Source organism: Homo sapiens, chromosome 14 (genome assembly GCF_000001405.40).
Source record: "Homo sapiens chromosome 14, GRCh38.p14 Primary Assembly".
NCBI classification, from domain to species: domain Eukaryota; kingdom Metazoa; phylum Chordata; class Mammalia; order Primates; family Hominidae; genus Homo; species Homo sapiens.
Window position 1 is genome coordinate 40,955,440 of NC_000014.9, and position 13,938 is coordinate 40,969,377.

General features: G+C 34.8%; 1 long non-coding RNA gene across 2 annotated transcripts in view; it reads left to right on the top strand.

Moving 5' to 3' along the window:
• Positions 1-13,938, top strand: part of LINC02315 (long intergenic non-protein coding RNA 2315) — a 186,338-nt gene that overhangs the window by 729 nt on the left and 171,671 nt on the right. For both annotated transcript variants that reach the window (NR_109758.1, NR_109757.1), the window contains exon 2: positions 7,351-7,403. This is a non-coding gene — a long non-coding RNA (long intergenic non-protein coding RNA 2315). The remainder of the gene's footprint in view (positions 1-7,350; positions 7,404-13,938) is intronic.

The following is a 13,938-nucleotide window of genomic DNA, read 5'->3' on the forward strand; positions in this document are numbered from 1 at the left end:
CTATTCTTTAGATTGTTCATTTACTTTGTTGATAGTTTATTTTGCTGTGCAGAAATTCTTTATTTTAATTAGGTCCTAATAGTCAATTTTTAGTTTTGTTGCAATTGCTTTTGGAGTCTTTTTTATGGAGTCTTTGTATAGGCTGATGTCCAGAAAAATATTTTCCAGATTACCTTCTAGGATCATTACAGTTATAGGTTTTACATTTAAGTCTTTAATCCATCTAGAGTGGATTTTTATATATGGTGAAATGTAAGAGTTCAATTTTAATCTTCTATATATGGCTAGCCTGTTATTACAGCAGCCTTTAGTGAATAAGGAGTCCTTTCTTCATTACTTGTTTTTGTCAGCTTTGTCGAAGACCAGATGGTCGTAGGTATGCAGCTTTATTTCTGGGTTTTTTAACCTGTTTTATTGGCCTATGTGTCTGTTTTTGCACACATATTGTACCTTTGTAGTATAGTGTGAAGTCAGGTAGTGTGATGTCTCAACTTTGTTGCCTTTATCTAGGATTGCTTTGGCTGTTCAGGCTCCTTTTTGGTTCCAAATGAATTTTAGATTTTTTTTTTCTATTTCTGTGAAAAGTGTTATTGATTGATTGATTGTTGTTGTTGTTGTTGTTGAGACAGGGTCTCACTCTGCCACCCATGCTGGAGTGGAGTGGCATGAACATGGTTCACTGCAGCTTGAACTAATGGGCTCAAGTGATCCTTTTGCCTCAGGCTCCCAAGGATGCCTGGCTATTTTCTGTAAATTTTGTAGAGATAGGGTTTTGCCATGTTACCCAGGTTGGTCTCTAATTCCTGTGCTTGATAGTTTGATGGGAACAGCACTGAATCTGTATGTAGCTTTGGGCAGTATGGCCATTTTAACAATATTGATTCTTTCTATCCATGAGCATGGAATGTTTTCCAATTTGTTTGCATCATTTGATTTCTTTCAGCAGTGTTTTATAATTCTCATTATAGCGATCTTTTACCTCCCTGGTTAGCTGTATTTTTAGTTTTTTTTTTCTTTTTGTGGCAATTGCTAATGGGTTTGCATTCTTGATTTGACTCTCAGCTTAGATGTTTTTGGGATGTAGAAATGCTACTGATTTTTATATATTGATTTTGTATCCTGAGACTTTGCTAAAATTGTTTTGCATCTAGTAGTCTTTGAGCAGAGACTAAGGGCTTTTTAGATATACTATTATATCATATCTTCTGTGAAGAGAGATAGTTTGATTTTCTGTCTTCTTATTTGGGTGCCTTTTATTTCTTTCTCTTGACTGATTGCTCTGGCTAGGACTTTCAGTAGTATGTTGAACAGGAGTGGTGAGAGTCGTTTTCCTTTTCTTCTTCCAGTTCTCAAAAGGAATACTTTTAGCTTTTGCTCGTTCAGTATAATTTTGGCTGCGTGTTTGTCATAGATGGCCCTAATTATTTTGAAGTAAGTTTCTTTAATGCCTGATGTTGAAGTTTTTTTAACATGAAGTTGTTGTTGAGGGTTTTTTAACGTGAATTTATTGAGGGTTTTTAACATGAAGGAATGTTGAATTTTATCAAAAGCCTTTTCTGTGCCTATTAAGATGATCATGTGGTTATTGTTTTTAGTTCTGTTTATGTGATGTATCACAGTTAGATTTGCACAGGTTAAACCAACTTTGCATGGCAGGAATAAAACCTACTTGGTCATGGTTGGATTAGCTTTTTGATGTGCTTCTAGATTTGGATTGCTAGTGTTTTACTGAGGATTTTTGCATTTGTGTTCATCAGGGATACTAGAAGTTTTATCTTTTCATTTTGTCTTTGCCAGATTTTGGTATCAGGATGATGCTGGCCTTATAGAATGAGCTAGGGAGGAGTTCCTCCTCCTTGAATTTTTGGAATAGTATCAGTAGGATTGTGACTGGCTTTTCTTTTTGCCTCTGGTAGAATTCAGCTGTGACTCTGTCTGGTCCAGGGCTGTTTTCCCGTTGGTAGGTTTTTAAATTACTGATTCATAGCGCTTTTATTTGTCCTACCTACTGCCACCTTCATAAGTCTTGTTGCTTCTGTTTAAGGAAGGAGGCTCAGTTTGCTCCTGGACTCCACTAGCTAGAGAATCAGAGAATTGACTGCCTCTTTCTAGCAGACAACTGAAGATCAGCTCTATACCAACAACACACAGTGGATAATTTGTAGTGTCATTACCTTCTGTGTGTGTGGGAGAGGAACTGGCTAAAATATAGGTCTTTGCATGGCCTTATCAACACTCACTAGGTAGAGGAATCAGAGTATTTCTGCCTGAAACTGTTGCGGTTGAAGGTGAGAGAGAGAAGATGAGGTGTATAAATGTGTATCCATTTTCTTTTTCCATTAGTGTTTGGCTGGAGTTAGAGTAAGCATTGCTAAGAAAGATTTTTGAGTTGTTAGGACACACTTTTGGGACTTTTAGCTAGGGAGAACACTGCTTTCTTGGATCTACTTTAGCTGCACCCGATGGCAGTTCCCAGTCGGAAGTTTCTGCAGCACTCTGACTGAGTAATACGGCATATAATAAAGATATACAGGAGACTCACTACCACATTGTTCCTCAGGTTCTAAATTTACCAGCCCATCCATTTGCTTCATTTCACTATACACAGTCTTCATAAGCTTGTTTGTTTTGCTATGTCTAGAGTACTTGTTTGTAAGAGGAAGAACCTGGAAGGCATGGGATACTCCATCTTGTCCAGAATTGGAAGTCTGAGCTTTGTTCTTTTAATAGTTAGCTGCAGAGTTCTTCTTAGAGAGTTTACTTGGGAAATATTTTAAGATTGTTACAATAGAAACAAAGGCCCTTAGCAAAAATATGACTGTGTATAAATCTGAAAAATAAAGGACAGTTACGATGCTCTTCTTCTTAAAAGGTTAAAAAAGTATTCTTTGAAGGAGATAAGAAATAACAGAAGATATTAATATAAATGGAAGAGTATGTGGTACAGATATCCTAGGAAAATTCCCAAGCAGATGAATATTCTATGGACTTTAAAGAACACAGATGGACAATGTTAAATTTAAATTTAATGTCATGGATGTGAGGGCAAAACAAATTAATAACTTTAAAATTCAAAGGTGTCTTATGCAGTGTATTAGTGCATTTTCACACCGCTGATAAAGATGTACCCAAAACTAGCTAATTTGTCAAGAAAAAAAGATTCGATGAACTCACAGTTCCACATGGCTGGGGAGGCCTTACAATCATGGAGGAAGGCAAGGAGGAGCAAAGTCACATCTTACATGGTGGCAGACAAAGAGAATGAGAGCCAAGCAATAAGGCAAACCACTTATAAAACCATCAGATCTTGTGAGGCTTATTCAGTACCATGAGAACAGTATGGGGGAAACCACCCGCATGATTCAATTATCTCCCACCAGTTTCCTCCCACAACATGTGAGAATTATGGGAGTACAATTTGAGATGAGATTTGGGTTGGTACACAGTCACAACTTATCATTCCACCCCTGGCCACTCCCAAATCTCATGTCCTCACATTTCAAAACCAGTCATGCCTTCCCAGAAGTCCCACAAAGTCTTAACTCATTTCAGCATTAACCCAAAAGTCCATAGGTCAAAGTCTCATCTGAGACAAGGCAAGTTCCTTCTGCCAATGAGCCGGTAAAATCAAAAGCAAGTTTGTTACTTCCTAGATACGATGGGGCTACATGCATTGATTAAATATGCCCATTCCAAATAGGGGAAATTGGACAAAACACAGGGGCTACAGACTCCATGTAATTCCAAAATCCAGAAAGGCAGTCAAATCATAAAGCTCCAAAATGATCTTCTTTGAGTCCATGTCTCACATCCAGGTCACACTGATGCAAGAGGTGGGTTCCCATGGTCTTGGGCAGCTCTGGCCCTGTGACTTTGCTGCAGGCTGCAGGTACAGCCTCCCACCAGGCTGCTCTCATGGGCTGACGTTGAGTGTCTGTGGCTTTTCCAGGCACAGGGTGCAAGCTGACAGTGGATCTTTCATTCTGGGGTCTGGAGAATGGTGGCCCTCTTCTCACAGCTCCACTAATCAGTGCCCCAGTGGGGACACTGTGTAAGGGCATCAACTCCACATTTCCATTCTATACTTCCCTAGCAGAGGCTCTCCATGAGGGCCCTGCACCTACAGCAAACTTCTGCCTGGGCATCCAGGTTTTTTATACATCCTCTGAAATTCAGGCAGAGATTCTGAAACCTTAGTTCTTGACTTCTGTATACTTGCAGGCTCAACACCACGTGGAAGCTGCCAAGGCTTGGGGCTTGCACCCTCTGGAGCCATGACCTGAGCTGTACACTGGCCCCTTTAGCCACAGCTGAAGCAGCTGGGACATAGGGCACCAAGTCCCTAGGCTGCATACAGCAGGAGGGCCCCGGGCCCAGCCCACAAAAATATTTTGTCCTCTTTGACCCCTGGGCTTGTGATGGGAGGGGCCGCCCTGAAAGTCTCTGACATGCCCTGGAAACATTTTCCCCATTGTCTTGGCAATTAACATTTGTCTTCTCATTACTTAAGCAAATTACTGCAGCCAACTTGAATTTCTCCTCATAAAATGTTTTTTATCTATCACATCATCAAGCTGTAAATTTTCTGAACTTTTATACTGTTTTCCTTTTAAAACAGAATGGTTTTTAACAGCACCCAAGTCACATCTTGAATGCTTTGCTGCTTAGAAGTTTCCTCTGCCAGATACCCTAAATCATCTCCATCAAGTTCAAAGTTCCACAAATCTCTAGGACAGGAGCAAAATGCTGCCAGTCTCTTTGCTAAAACATAGCAAGAGTCACCTTTATTCCAGTTCCACTGAAATTCCTCATCTCCATCTGAGACCACCTCAGTTTGGATTTCATTGTCCATATCATTATCAGCACTTAGGTCAAAGCCATTCAACAAGTCTCTAGGAAGTTCCAAACTCTCCCACATTTTCGTGTCTTCTCCTGAGCCCTCCAAACTGTTCCAAACTCTGCCTTTTACACAGTTCCAAAGTTGCTTCCACATTTTCAGGTATCTTTACAGTAGCACCCCACTCCTGGTTCCGATTTATTGTATTAGTCTGTTTTCATGCTGCTGATAAAGACATACCCAAAAATGGGTACTTTGTAAAGAAAAATAGGTTTAATGGACTCACATTTCCATGTGGCTCAATCATGGCTGAAGGTGAAAGGCACATCTTACATGGTTGCAGGCAAGAGAGAATGAGAACCAAGTGAAAGGAGAAACCCCTTATAAAACCATCAGATTTTGTGAAACTTATTCACTATCATGAAAACAGTATGGGGAATATCATCCACATGATTCAGTGATTCCCCACCAGGTCCCTCCCATAACACATGGGAATTATGGGAGCTACAATTCAAAATGAGATTTGGGTGGGGACACAGCCAAGCCATATTATTTAGTGTTTAATCTATTTGTTTTGTGGAAATTATAAAAGGTATGAAATTATTTTCTGGATTGATATGGCAAAAAATATAAATAGTACATATGGAATAGCACAAGAGTCATAAGTTGGATTTATTAGAAACAAGATCTCTGAGATGGGCCTGACCATAGGACTCCAACTTCTTGTCTCTCTACCATCATCACTTCTGTATGTAATAAAATCTTAAGGAAGTTTAGAAACCATGAAAAGTCATAGAAAGCTAGGTTTTAATGTAAAACTCAAATACACATAAGGAAAATAAAGATATATGTATCTAACTAGATCACAGGTTTTATCCTTGTACATATATACAGAGGAAAATGTCTGACAAAATAGACATTGAACTCTTTCTTGAAAAGCAAAATACCTATGTTATTCAGAGAGGTATAAAGATGCATATATTAAAATTGCCTTCAGAAACATTAAAGAATAAGCTAAAATAGAATATTTTTGCAAATCATATATCTAATGGACAATTTTTATCCAGAATACATAAATAAATCTTGCAACTCAAAAATAATGAGGAAACAATCCAATTCAAAAAATAGACAAGACATTTAAATAAGCTTTTCATCAAGAAAGACATACAAATTTTTATTAAGCATTATAAAATGTTTGCAACATCATTAGGCAATAGGAAATTAAAAATTAAAATCACAATGATATCTTATTATAAAATAACCAGAAGGACCATGATATAAAAGATAGTCAATGCCAAGTATTATAAGGTTTTCAAGAAACTGGAGCCCTCCTAAATTGCTGGTGCAAATAAAAATAGTACAACCTCTTTGCAAAAGTCCATCTGTTTCTTAAAAAGCTAAACATAAGCTTATCATATGACCAGCAATTTTTGTCCTAAAAATCTATCCAAGAGAATTGAAATGCTAGATACACTCTCCACTCAAAGCTTAATATGCCAATGTTCATAGAAGCATTGTTCATAATAGCTAAAAAGTAGAAACCCAACTGGTGAATGGATAAACAAATGTGATATATCCACGTAATGGAATACTATAAATAAATAATAAGGAATAAATTATACATCTGGAAGATGAATTGACTTCAAAGTCTTTATGAAGGAAGCAAGACACAAAATACTATGTATTATATGTCCTCGTTTACATAAAATGTTCAGAACAAATTTAGGTAAATAGAAATCATATCTATAGTAACCTGGGGATGGGGATGGATGTGAGGATTGGCTTTCAGCAGGTTCAATGGAAAATTTAAATTAGACCATGTTGGTTGTGCAACTCTATAAACTTATTAAATTGTAAATAACTAAAATTTATTGAATTGTAAATAACTATGTATGAATGTTTTGTTTAAATCATACCTCAATAAAGCTGTTAAAATACCTCAAAATAAATGTTAAAGAAAATTGGGCAAGAAAAAGACTCAAAGTTTTTTCTAAAACACTTTATGATATAATGCAATTACAATATGGCTCACTCTCTATGCAAATAAATTATAATATTGTAGCAAATATTGTAATCTGATAAAATTATTATCAGATAGAGAAATAAATGTTGCAACACTTAGCTTTATATGGGCAAGTACTGATCATTTCTGTGAATAGAAACACTATAAAGACTCAGCCATGAATTTTTCAGTCATTATATTTTGAATATGATATGCCTAAAAGAAGAAAAATGTTGTATTTGGCAATACTTTTGCTGACATAATTACTTTATGGAGTGATCACTTACCAGAACTCTTAAAAATATAGAGAATGAATGATGGCTGCTAGCACATTCTCTGTTAGCATTTTTACAGGGTTATAATATATAATGTTATTTTCAGGAACCAAGCTTCAGAAATAGTTATTACTGGTTTATTTTACAATCAGCTGTAAGAAACATCATACTGTTAAAATAATTTAATGATTCATCATTTGCACCAACATATTCATGATCACTTTTTGTTGTTCCAGGTTTTGTATTGTTTTTATAGAGCTGCCCTCACATGCTTCAGCAACATTAGATGGTAAGTATGACTTGTAGAAAAATTATATGAAGTTGGTAATACAATTGTAATTTTTATAATAGTGTGAAATATGATGAACACATAGCATTTACTTCGTTTTCCTCCTGAATACATAGAAAGAACATATTTCCTAAGTCCAGCTGCATCTAGTTCTGGCCAAAAAATTGCAAGAAAAAAGTAATGTAAACCAGCTCTAGGTCTCATTTATAAATATATTCCATAAAGAATCCTGCCCTATGCCTTTTCCTTCTGGTATAGTCTTGGAGTAGAATGTAAAAGATGGTCGTAATTCTAGATTGAAAGAAACTGTACCCCTTAGTGATTTCATAAAGACCCTCTACCATAACTTCCAATCTCATTAGACTATGTAATGATTAGTAGTAAAATGTATTATGTTAAGCCATTGAGATTGACAAGGCAGATTTTCTATTACCTTGTCTACAGAATTCTAACATATTATTAACTTCAACTTATAATAATATATTATATAGGAAATGCCTGCATATGACCGTATTTCTGGCTAATAAGTTTACAATTCCTCTTTAGAACCTTTAAAATGATATTAATGTTGTCAAATATTACATAAATACACATACACATTCAAGATTTATTTTGGACTGTTGAGCACTAGTTATGTGCTAGATGTTGTCCTATATACTTTATATGCATTAATTTGTATAATCCCATCAGCAATCCAGTGAGGTTGGTGCTGTTCTTAACATCATTTTATAAATGAGGAACTTCCATACTAATATTAGACTATATTTCTAGTCAGTGGAATGGCTGAGACTCAAGCACAGGTAGTCTGATTTGAAAGCATGAGCTCTTAATTACTAGGAAAACCAGAAGGGACATAAATGCGTACATGAAACTAGCTTTAAACATTTCATTCTTTTATAATTCAAGTGTGTATATGATCATCTTACAGTCTTCTAAATAGATACAGCCATACACATAATTTTTCTAGTATCAATAAAATTAGTAATAGCCTATGGTAGTAAAAAAATCACATAATTAACATAAGAAAATACTTGAATATCATATGCACAGCTTTTAAGTGTTTTCAAGGTTAACATTAGCACAGTACCACTATAAATAATTACACATTTACAGATCAATTAATGGAGGCAGGATGAGATGTGGTAACTTGTTGGCACAATAAGTGCAGATCCAGTTGGTGTGACTCCTTAGTCACTATGGAATCCAGTTGGTGTGACTCCATAGTCTCTACAATATTTTCTCTTCCCTGGTTAATTCAGTGTTTCTCATCATCAAGTAGGAAACACAATTGTGACTAAAATGACAATTATGCAAACAAAACTTTTTGAAAGAGAATTCTATTTTGTGCAGTAGATAAAAATCTGCCTGTGTTTTACACATCGGTTGTTTATCTTTAAGCCAAAATGGGAAACAACAGGCTTCCCCAAATGACATTCACAATTCCTTTATTAATCAAAATAGCTATCATAGGTAAAAATGCCATCTAAAATCCTTAACCAAAAAACAAAGTAACTTTAGTATTTTAAATGCTATACACGTTTAAAATAGTTTTAAATTAGAAACTAAACTTTCCTTTACTAGCTAACTTGCTGACTATGTAGGAAATTCCTAATGCATGTATCAGACAACTTACTACATGTTGCCATTTGAGGACTGACAGGACTTTTGAGTCCCCAAATACATTCTCATTGACTTAACTCAATGCCTAAATGACAGGTTTAATGCCTTAATGTTGACAGTTAAAATTCATGTATGCTTTCTGGAAATGATAACACTATAACCTATTTTCAGCCACTTATCGATTAAATTATTAATACAGGTATTATATTATTTATAAAAGGAAATAGGATCTTTACAATATAATAGATAGAACTTACTCTTCCTTTTATCATGATGTGTCTTTTATCTTTCACATCTACCAATATAGATGCCCACAAAACAATAATAAATAGTTGCTTTTGCAGAACTTATATAGAGTAAGTCACTTACAATAAAGCCAGAATATATCGGAAGCATGTAAGAAAGGCATGTAAAAATAGCTGAAGCACCTGTAAGAAAGGCAGACTCAGAATAAATACCACAGTAGGCAGCTCCATGGCAGATGAAGAAACAGCAGGAAGAAACTGATTGGAGCCACATATTTCAGAGCAGGGAGTAATACCAAAGGTGAAGATTAAGCTAACTTGAGAAGAGAAATGGGCATAATAATAAACCATATTTATATTCCAATTTTGTTTAGGAATGATCTTCATGGGGTCATTCTAATGAATTTCAGAAATGTAAATACCACTTGCATCATCAATAATAATACAGAAATTTTAATATAACATTTAGCAAGTATTCAAAGAACAGGCATGTTCAATCAAGCAAACGTTTTCATTTTCTCCATTAGAATTAAAAAAGAAAAGCAACTTCACAATTCATTTTGTCAGGGTAGTGAAACCTTGAACAGAAAATGGCAGAGTTGCTTTAAAAAAAAAAAAAAGAAAGAAAAGAAAATCATAGGTCAATCTCAGCATTGAGCATAGATTTAAAATTCTGATACAAAGTGTTTGCACAAAAAAGAAAGCACCTAGCACACTGGAAATTAGATGCAACTTATTTTAAAGTTAATTAAGGAAATAAGTAGCATTTCAGACCAGTGAGGAGAACTGAAGAGTACAAAGATATAGCGCTGGGAAAATTGATTACTTATATGTTTACAAAAGAAATTTGATCCCTTCCTGACATCTTACATAAATTCAATTCCACATTGATTAAAGACTTAAACCACTTAATTGTGGTTGGAAGGTAATTTCTAAACAAGACATAAAATAAACCCAAAAACCATAAAGTAGAAGATTTCTTTGTTCAACTACATTAATATGGAAAATAATAAATATGAACATTACAAAGATATATTTACAATTCCCAACTCTCCTAAGATGGGTATTTTAATGTAATTATTTTAAAGTAATAAAAATAACAGATTCAATAGGATAATGGACAAAAACATGATCTGTTATTTCATACAAAAAGCACAATGTTATAAAAATATATGATAAAAATAATTTAACTAGAAATTGAGATAAAATAACACGAGATAAATTTTTATCCCCACTCAACTGGAAAAAATGAAAAAAAAGATAATTCAAAGTGTTAGTGAAATATGATTTTCTTTCACACGTAGCCACACTTTCAATTGGTAAGCATATGTAGGAATACAATTTTTTTCTTACTAAATGTATTTGAAAATGCACACATCCAGTAATCTGGGAATTCCAGTCATAGAATATTAATATAGAAAATCTTTCTTATCTGATCCAGGAGATATTTACATGATTGTTCCTAGCAACATTGTAACAATAATAAATGTTAACACAAACCCAAATCTTCATCAACAATAAAATAGGTAAGTAAATTGTTCAAAAACTAAAGATAATGTCACATAGTAGTGGAAATTAGGGAACTACATACATCTCAAAATATTAATATGGAGTAATTAAGTGAATCACAAAAAGTCTCTTTACAATATGATTTCGTTTACATATGCATGAAAACTCATGAAAATTATTTTTTATTTTGTATAAATGTATAGGGTACAAGTGCAATTTTCTTACATGCAAATATCTCAGATAGTGGTCAAGTCAGGTCCTTTAGGGTTTCCATCTCCCAAATAATGTACTTTGTGCCCATAAAGTAATTTTTTATGATTCATGCCCTCTCACTTTCTTACCGTTTTGAAATCTCCATTTTCTGTCATTCCATTCTCTGTATCTATGTGTGGATAAATGTAATGAAGAACGTCAGCTAGGATTTGTGTTAAACTAATAGAAATTTTATATTAACTCAAATAATTTAGAATCTTACTTTTTAACTGTAGCCTGGAGATTGTTAATCCAGGCATAGCAGAGAGGTTTCACTAAAATTATTTTTTATGCTGGTTCATACTTAGCATTGTCATTTATATTCAAGTTCAAAAAGTGAATATTGAAGATCAGGAATCAAGAACACATTCCAGACAGTAATAAGGAGAAGAAGTTAAAAAAATAGAAAAGGGGTTCTCCTAAGAATCCTACTCAGTGGCTTTCTCTTAGATCTTTCATCTCAGAAACCACTATTGTCAGCTGGGCCTAGTGGCTCATGCCTGTAATCCCAGCGCTTTGGGAGGCCAAAGCCGGTGGATCACCTGTGGTCGGAAGCTGGAGATCAGCCTGGCTAACATGGTGAAACCCTGTCTCTACTAAAAATACAAAATTAGCTGGGCATGGTGGTGCATGCCTGTAATTTCAGCTACTTGGGAGGCTGAGGCAGGATAATCGCTTGAACCTGGGAGGCAGAGGTTGCAGTGAGCCAGAATCGCACCACTGCACTCCAGCCTGGGTGACAGAGTGAGACTCTGTCTCCAAGAAAACAAACAAACAAACAAAAAAAACCCACAAAGAAACCACCACTGTCTTCAGATGAAGCTAGATCAGTATTTTAGCTGGGTATACTGCTACCTCAAATAAAATCAGGGCTCTCTACTAGGGGTAAAGAGTGAAGGGAAGTATATGAGGTAAGCAGCCGTCTTCTCCTCATACAGCAAAATGACAAGGGCATGCAAGAGGAAAGTTAATAGAAAAATAGAGGATCTTTGGAGACTGGGAAAAGGGATGCTTTGTATTTGGAATACATATGGTTTTACAAATCCATTGGTATTATTACATATCTTAAGCTTGGTGCTAGGTACATGGATGCTCATTTTTAGCATGAGGTTTAGCACAAGTTTACCAATACAACAAACCTGCACATGTGCCCCTGAACCTAAAATGAAAGTTTAAGTGGAAAGAACTAAAAACAAAATGAAACACATGAAAAAATGTTCCCAATTAATTTTTCGATTTCAATGTGAGAAATGCGAAACTTCCTTTTTTTTTTTTGCTACCAAAAATAGTGCTATACTTCCACTAAGACTTTGACTATGTTCTAGCAACAGAGCCCAAGTATGTAGTCCTGACCATGGCAGAGTTATATGGAACAGTTACACTGTCAGTTTCTTAATGTACATTTTATGTTCCTTATGCAAAAATAATAATAACCTATTTGTCTTTTATTAGCCATAATCTCTTTCTATTTTTAGAAGATAGCAAAATGACTTGCTCATCTCAAATTAGCAGAAAATTGTTTTACATATTTTCTTCAAAGAAACAAGAACGAAAACAAACTTAGCTGTAAATTATCTCCCATGAGCTGTCTTCATTTGTTCAAAGGGTAGAGAAGGAAATGACAGTGAGAAAGCTAGCATGTATGAAGCATTTATTATGTGCCAGCGACTGTGTTAGGTAATTAGTATTCAAAGTGGTTCCTTTCAGGGTCACCACATCTCATATAACAGTGCTCCAGACAAATTCTACAATATCACATACTGTGGATTAAAAGAGTGAGCTTCATAAACTTTTTTTTGTGCTAAGAACTCTTAAAATCTGCTCTCAGCATTTTTCAAGAATATAATATATTGTTATTAACTATAGTCTCTGTTGTACAATAGATCTCTTGAACTTATTCCTCTTAAAAGAAACAATAGGCTTCACAGGATCAAGAGAAGAGGGCTTTCAGATTCCCAGTCTGGGCTTTGTCCCCAGATAGAGGCGGGCTGGAGCTCAGGCCCCCTCATTGATATGTGGTGTGTTTATTCATTCCCTAGACGTACCCTGTCTCTTCCTCTTGTTCTGTCTTCCTGTAGGATAAGCATGATAAAGCATACTGTCTGAGGAGGGGTATGTAGGCTTCTGGGACCCAGATAATCTGGATTCAGTGCTGTAGGTTTAGAGGAGTTATGTGAGAAAATCAACTGCCTAGTACCAGTGGATCATGGTAACTGTATTATTATATTTAAAACCTTGCATTATTCTTGAGAAATCTGAGTTCATGTCCAAGGTCACACATGTAGCACATGTCACAGTCATACTTATGATTCCAAAGCCCATAGTGTTATACCAGGCTATACTATTTTTCAATCTGAATATAATTGAGACAACTACAGTGCTCCATCAAATTCTATTTACTCTAAATTATTTTCATTTTTTTCCAGAATTCGAGTATTTTTTTGAACAGTGTTTTATTCACACATACACATGCCCACATCTCTCTCTCTATATATATATATGACTGTAATACATATTTTACATATATACAACCTGTTGTGATAGATAATATTGTGTTACAGTATCTGTTATAAGACTCATTACTTAGGCAAAGTTTTTTTATGACAGTTATACTATAAAGTATATAAAATGAATAAATAAAACAAGTAATTTCAAACAAGTTAGAAAGAATGCAGAAAGTAAGCATTATATAATTTTTACAATGTGAATATTATAGATAACTTAATAAAAGCTATATTATGTTTCAATTTCTAAATTTCAATTTGTTGTCCTACCTAATAAAATGATAATATGAATAAAAGACTCCAAAGATTAGCTATGCCATAATCAAGAGGAGAAAATTCAAGAAATTACAATCAAGAGTTTACTGTTAAAAGAAACATCAGTAAAATTGATTTTGAAGTATGCTG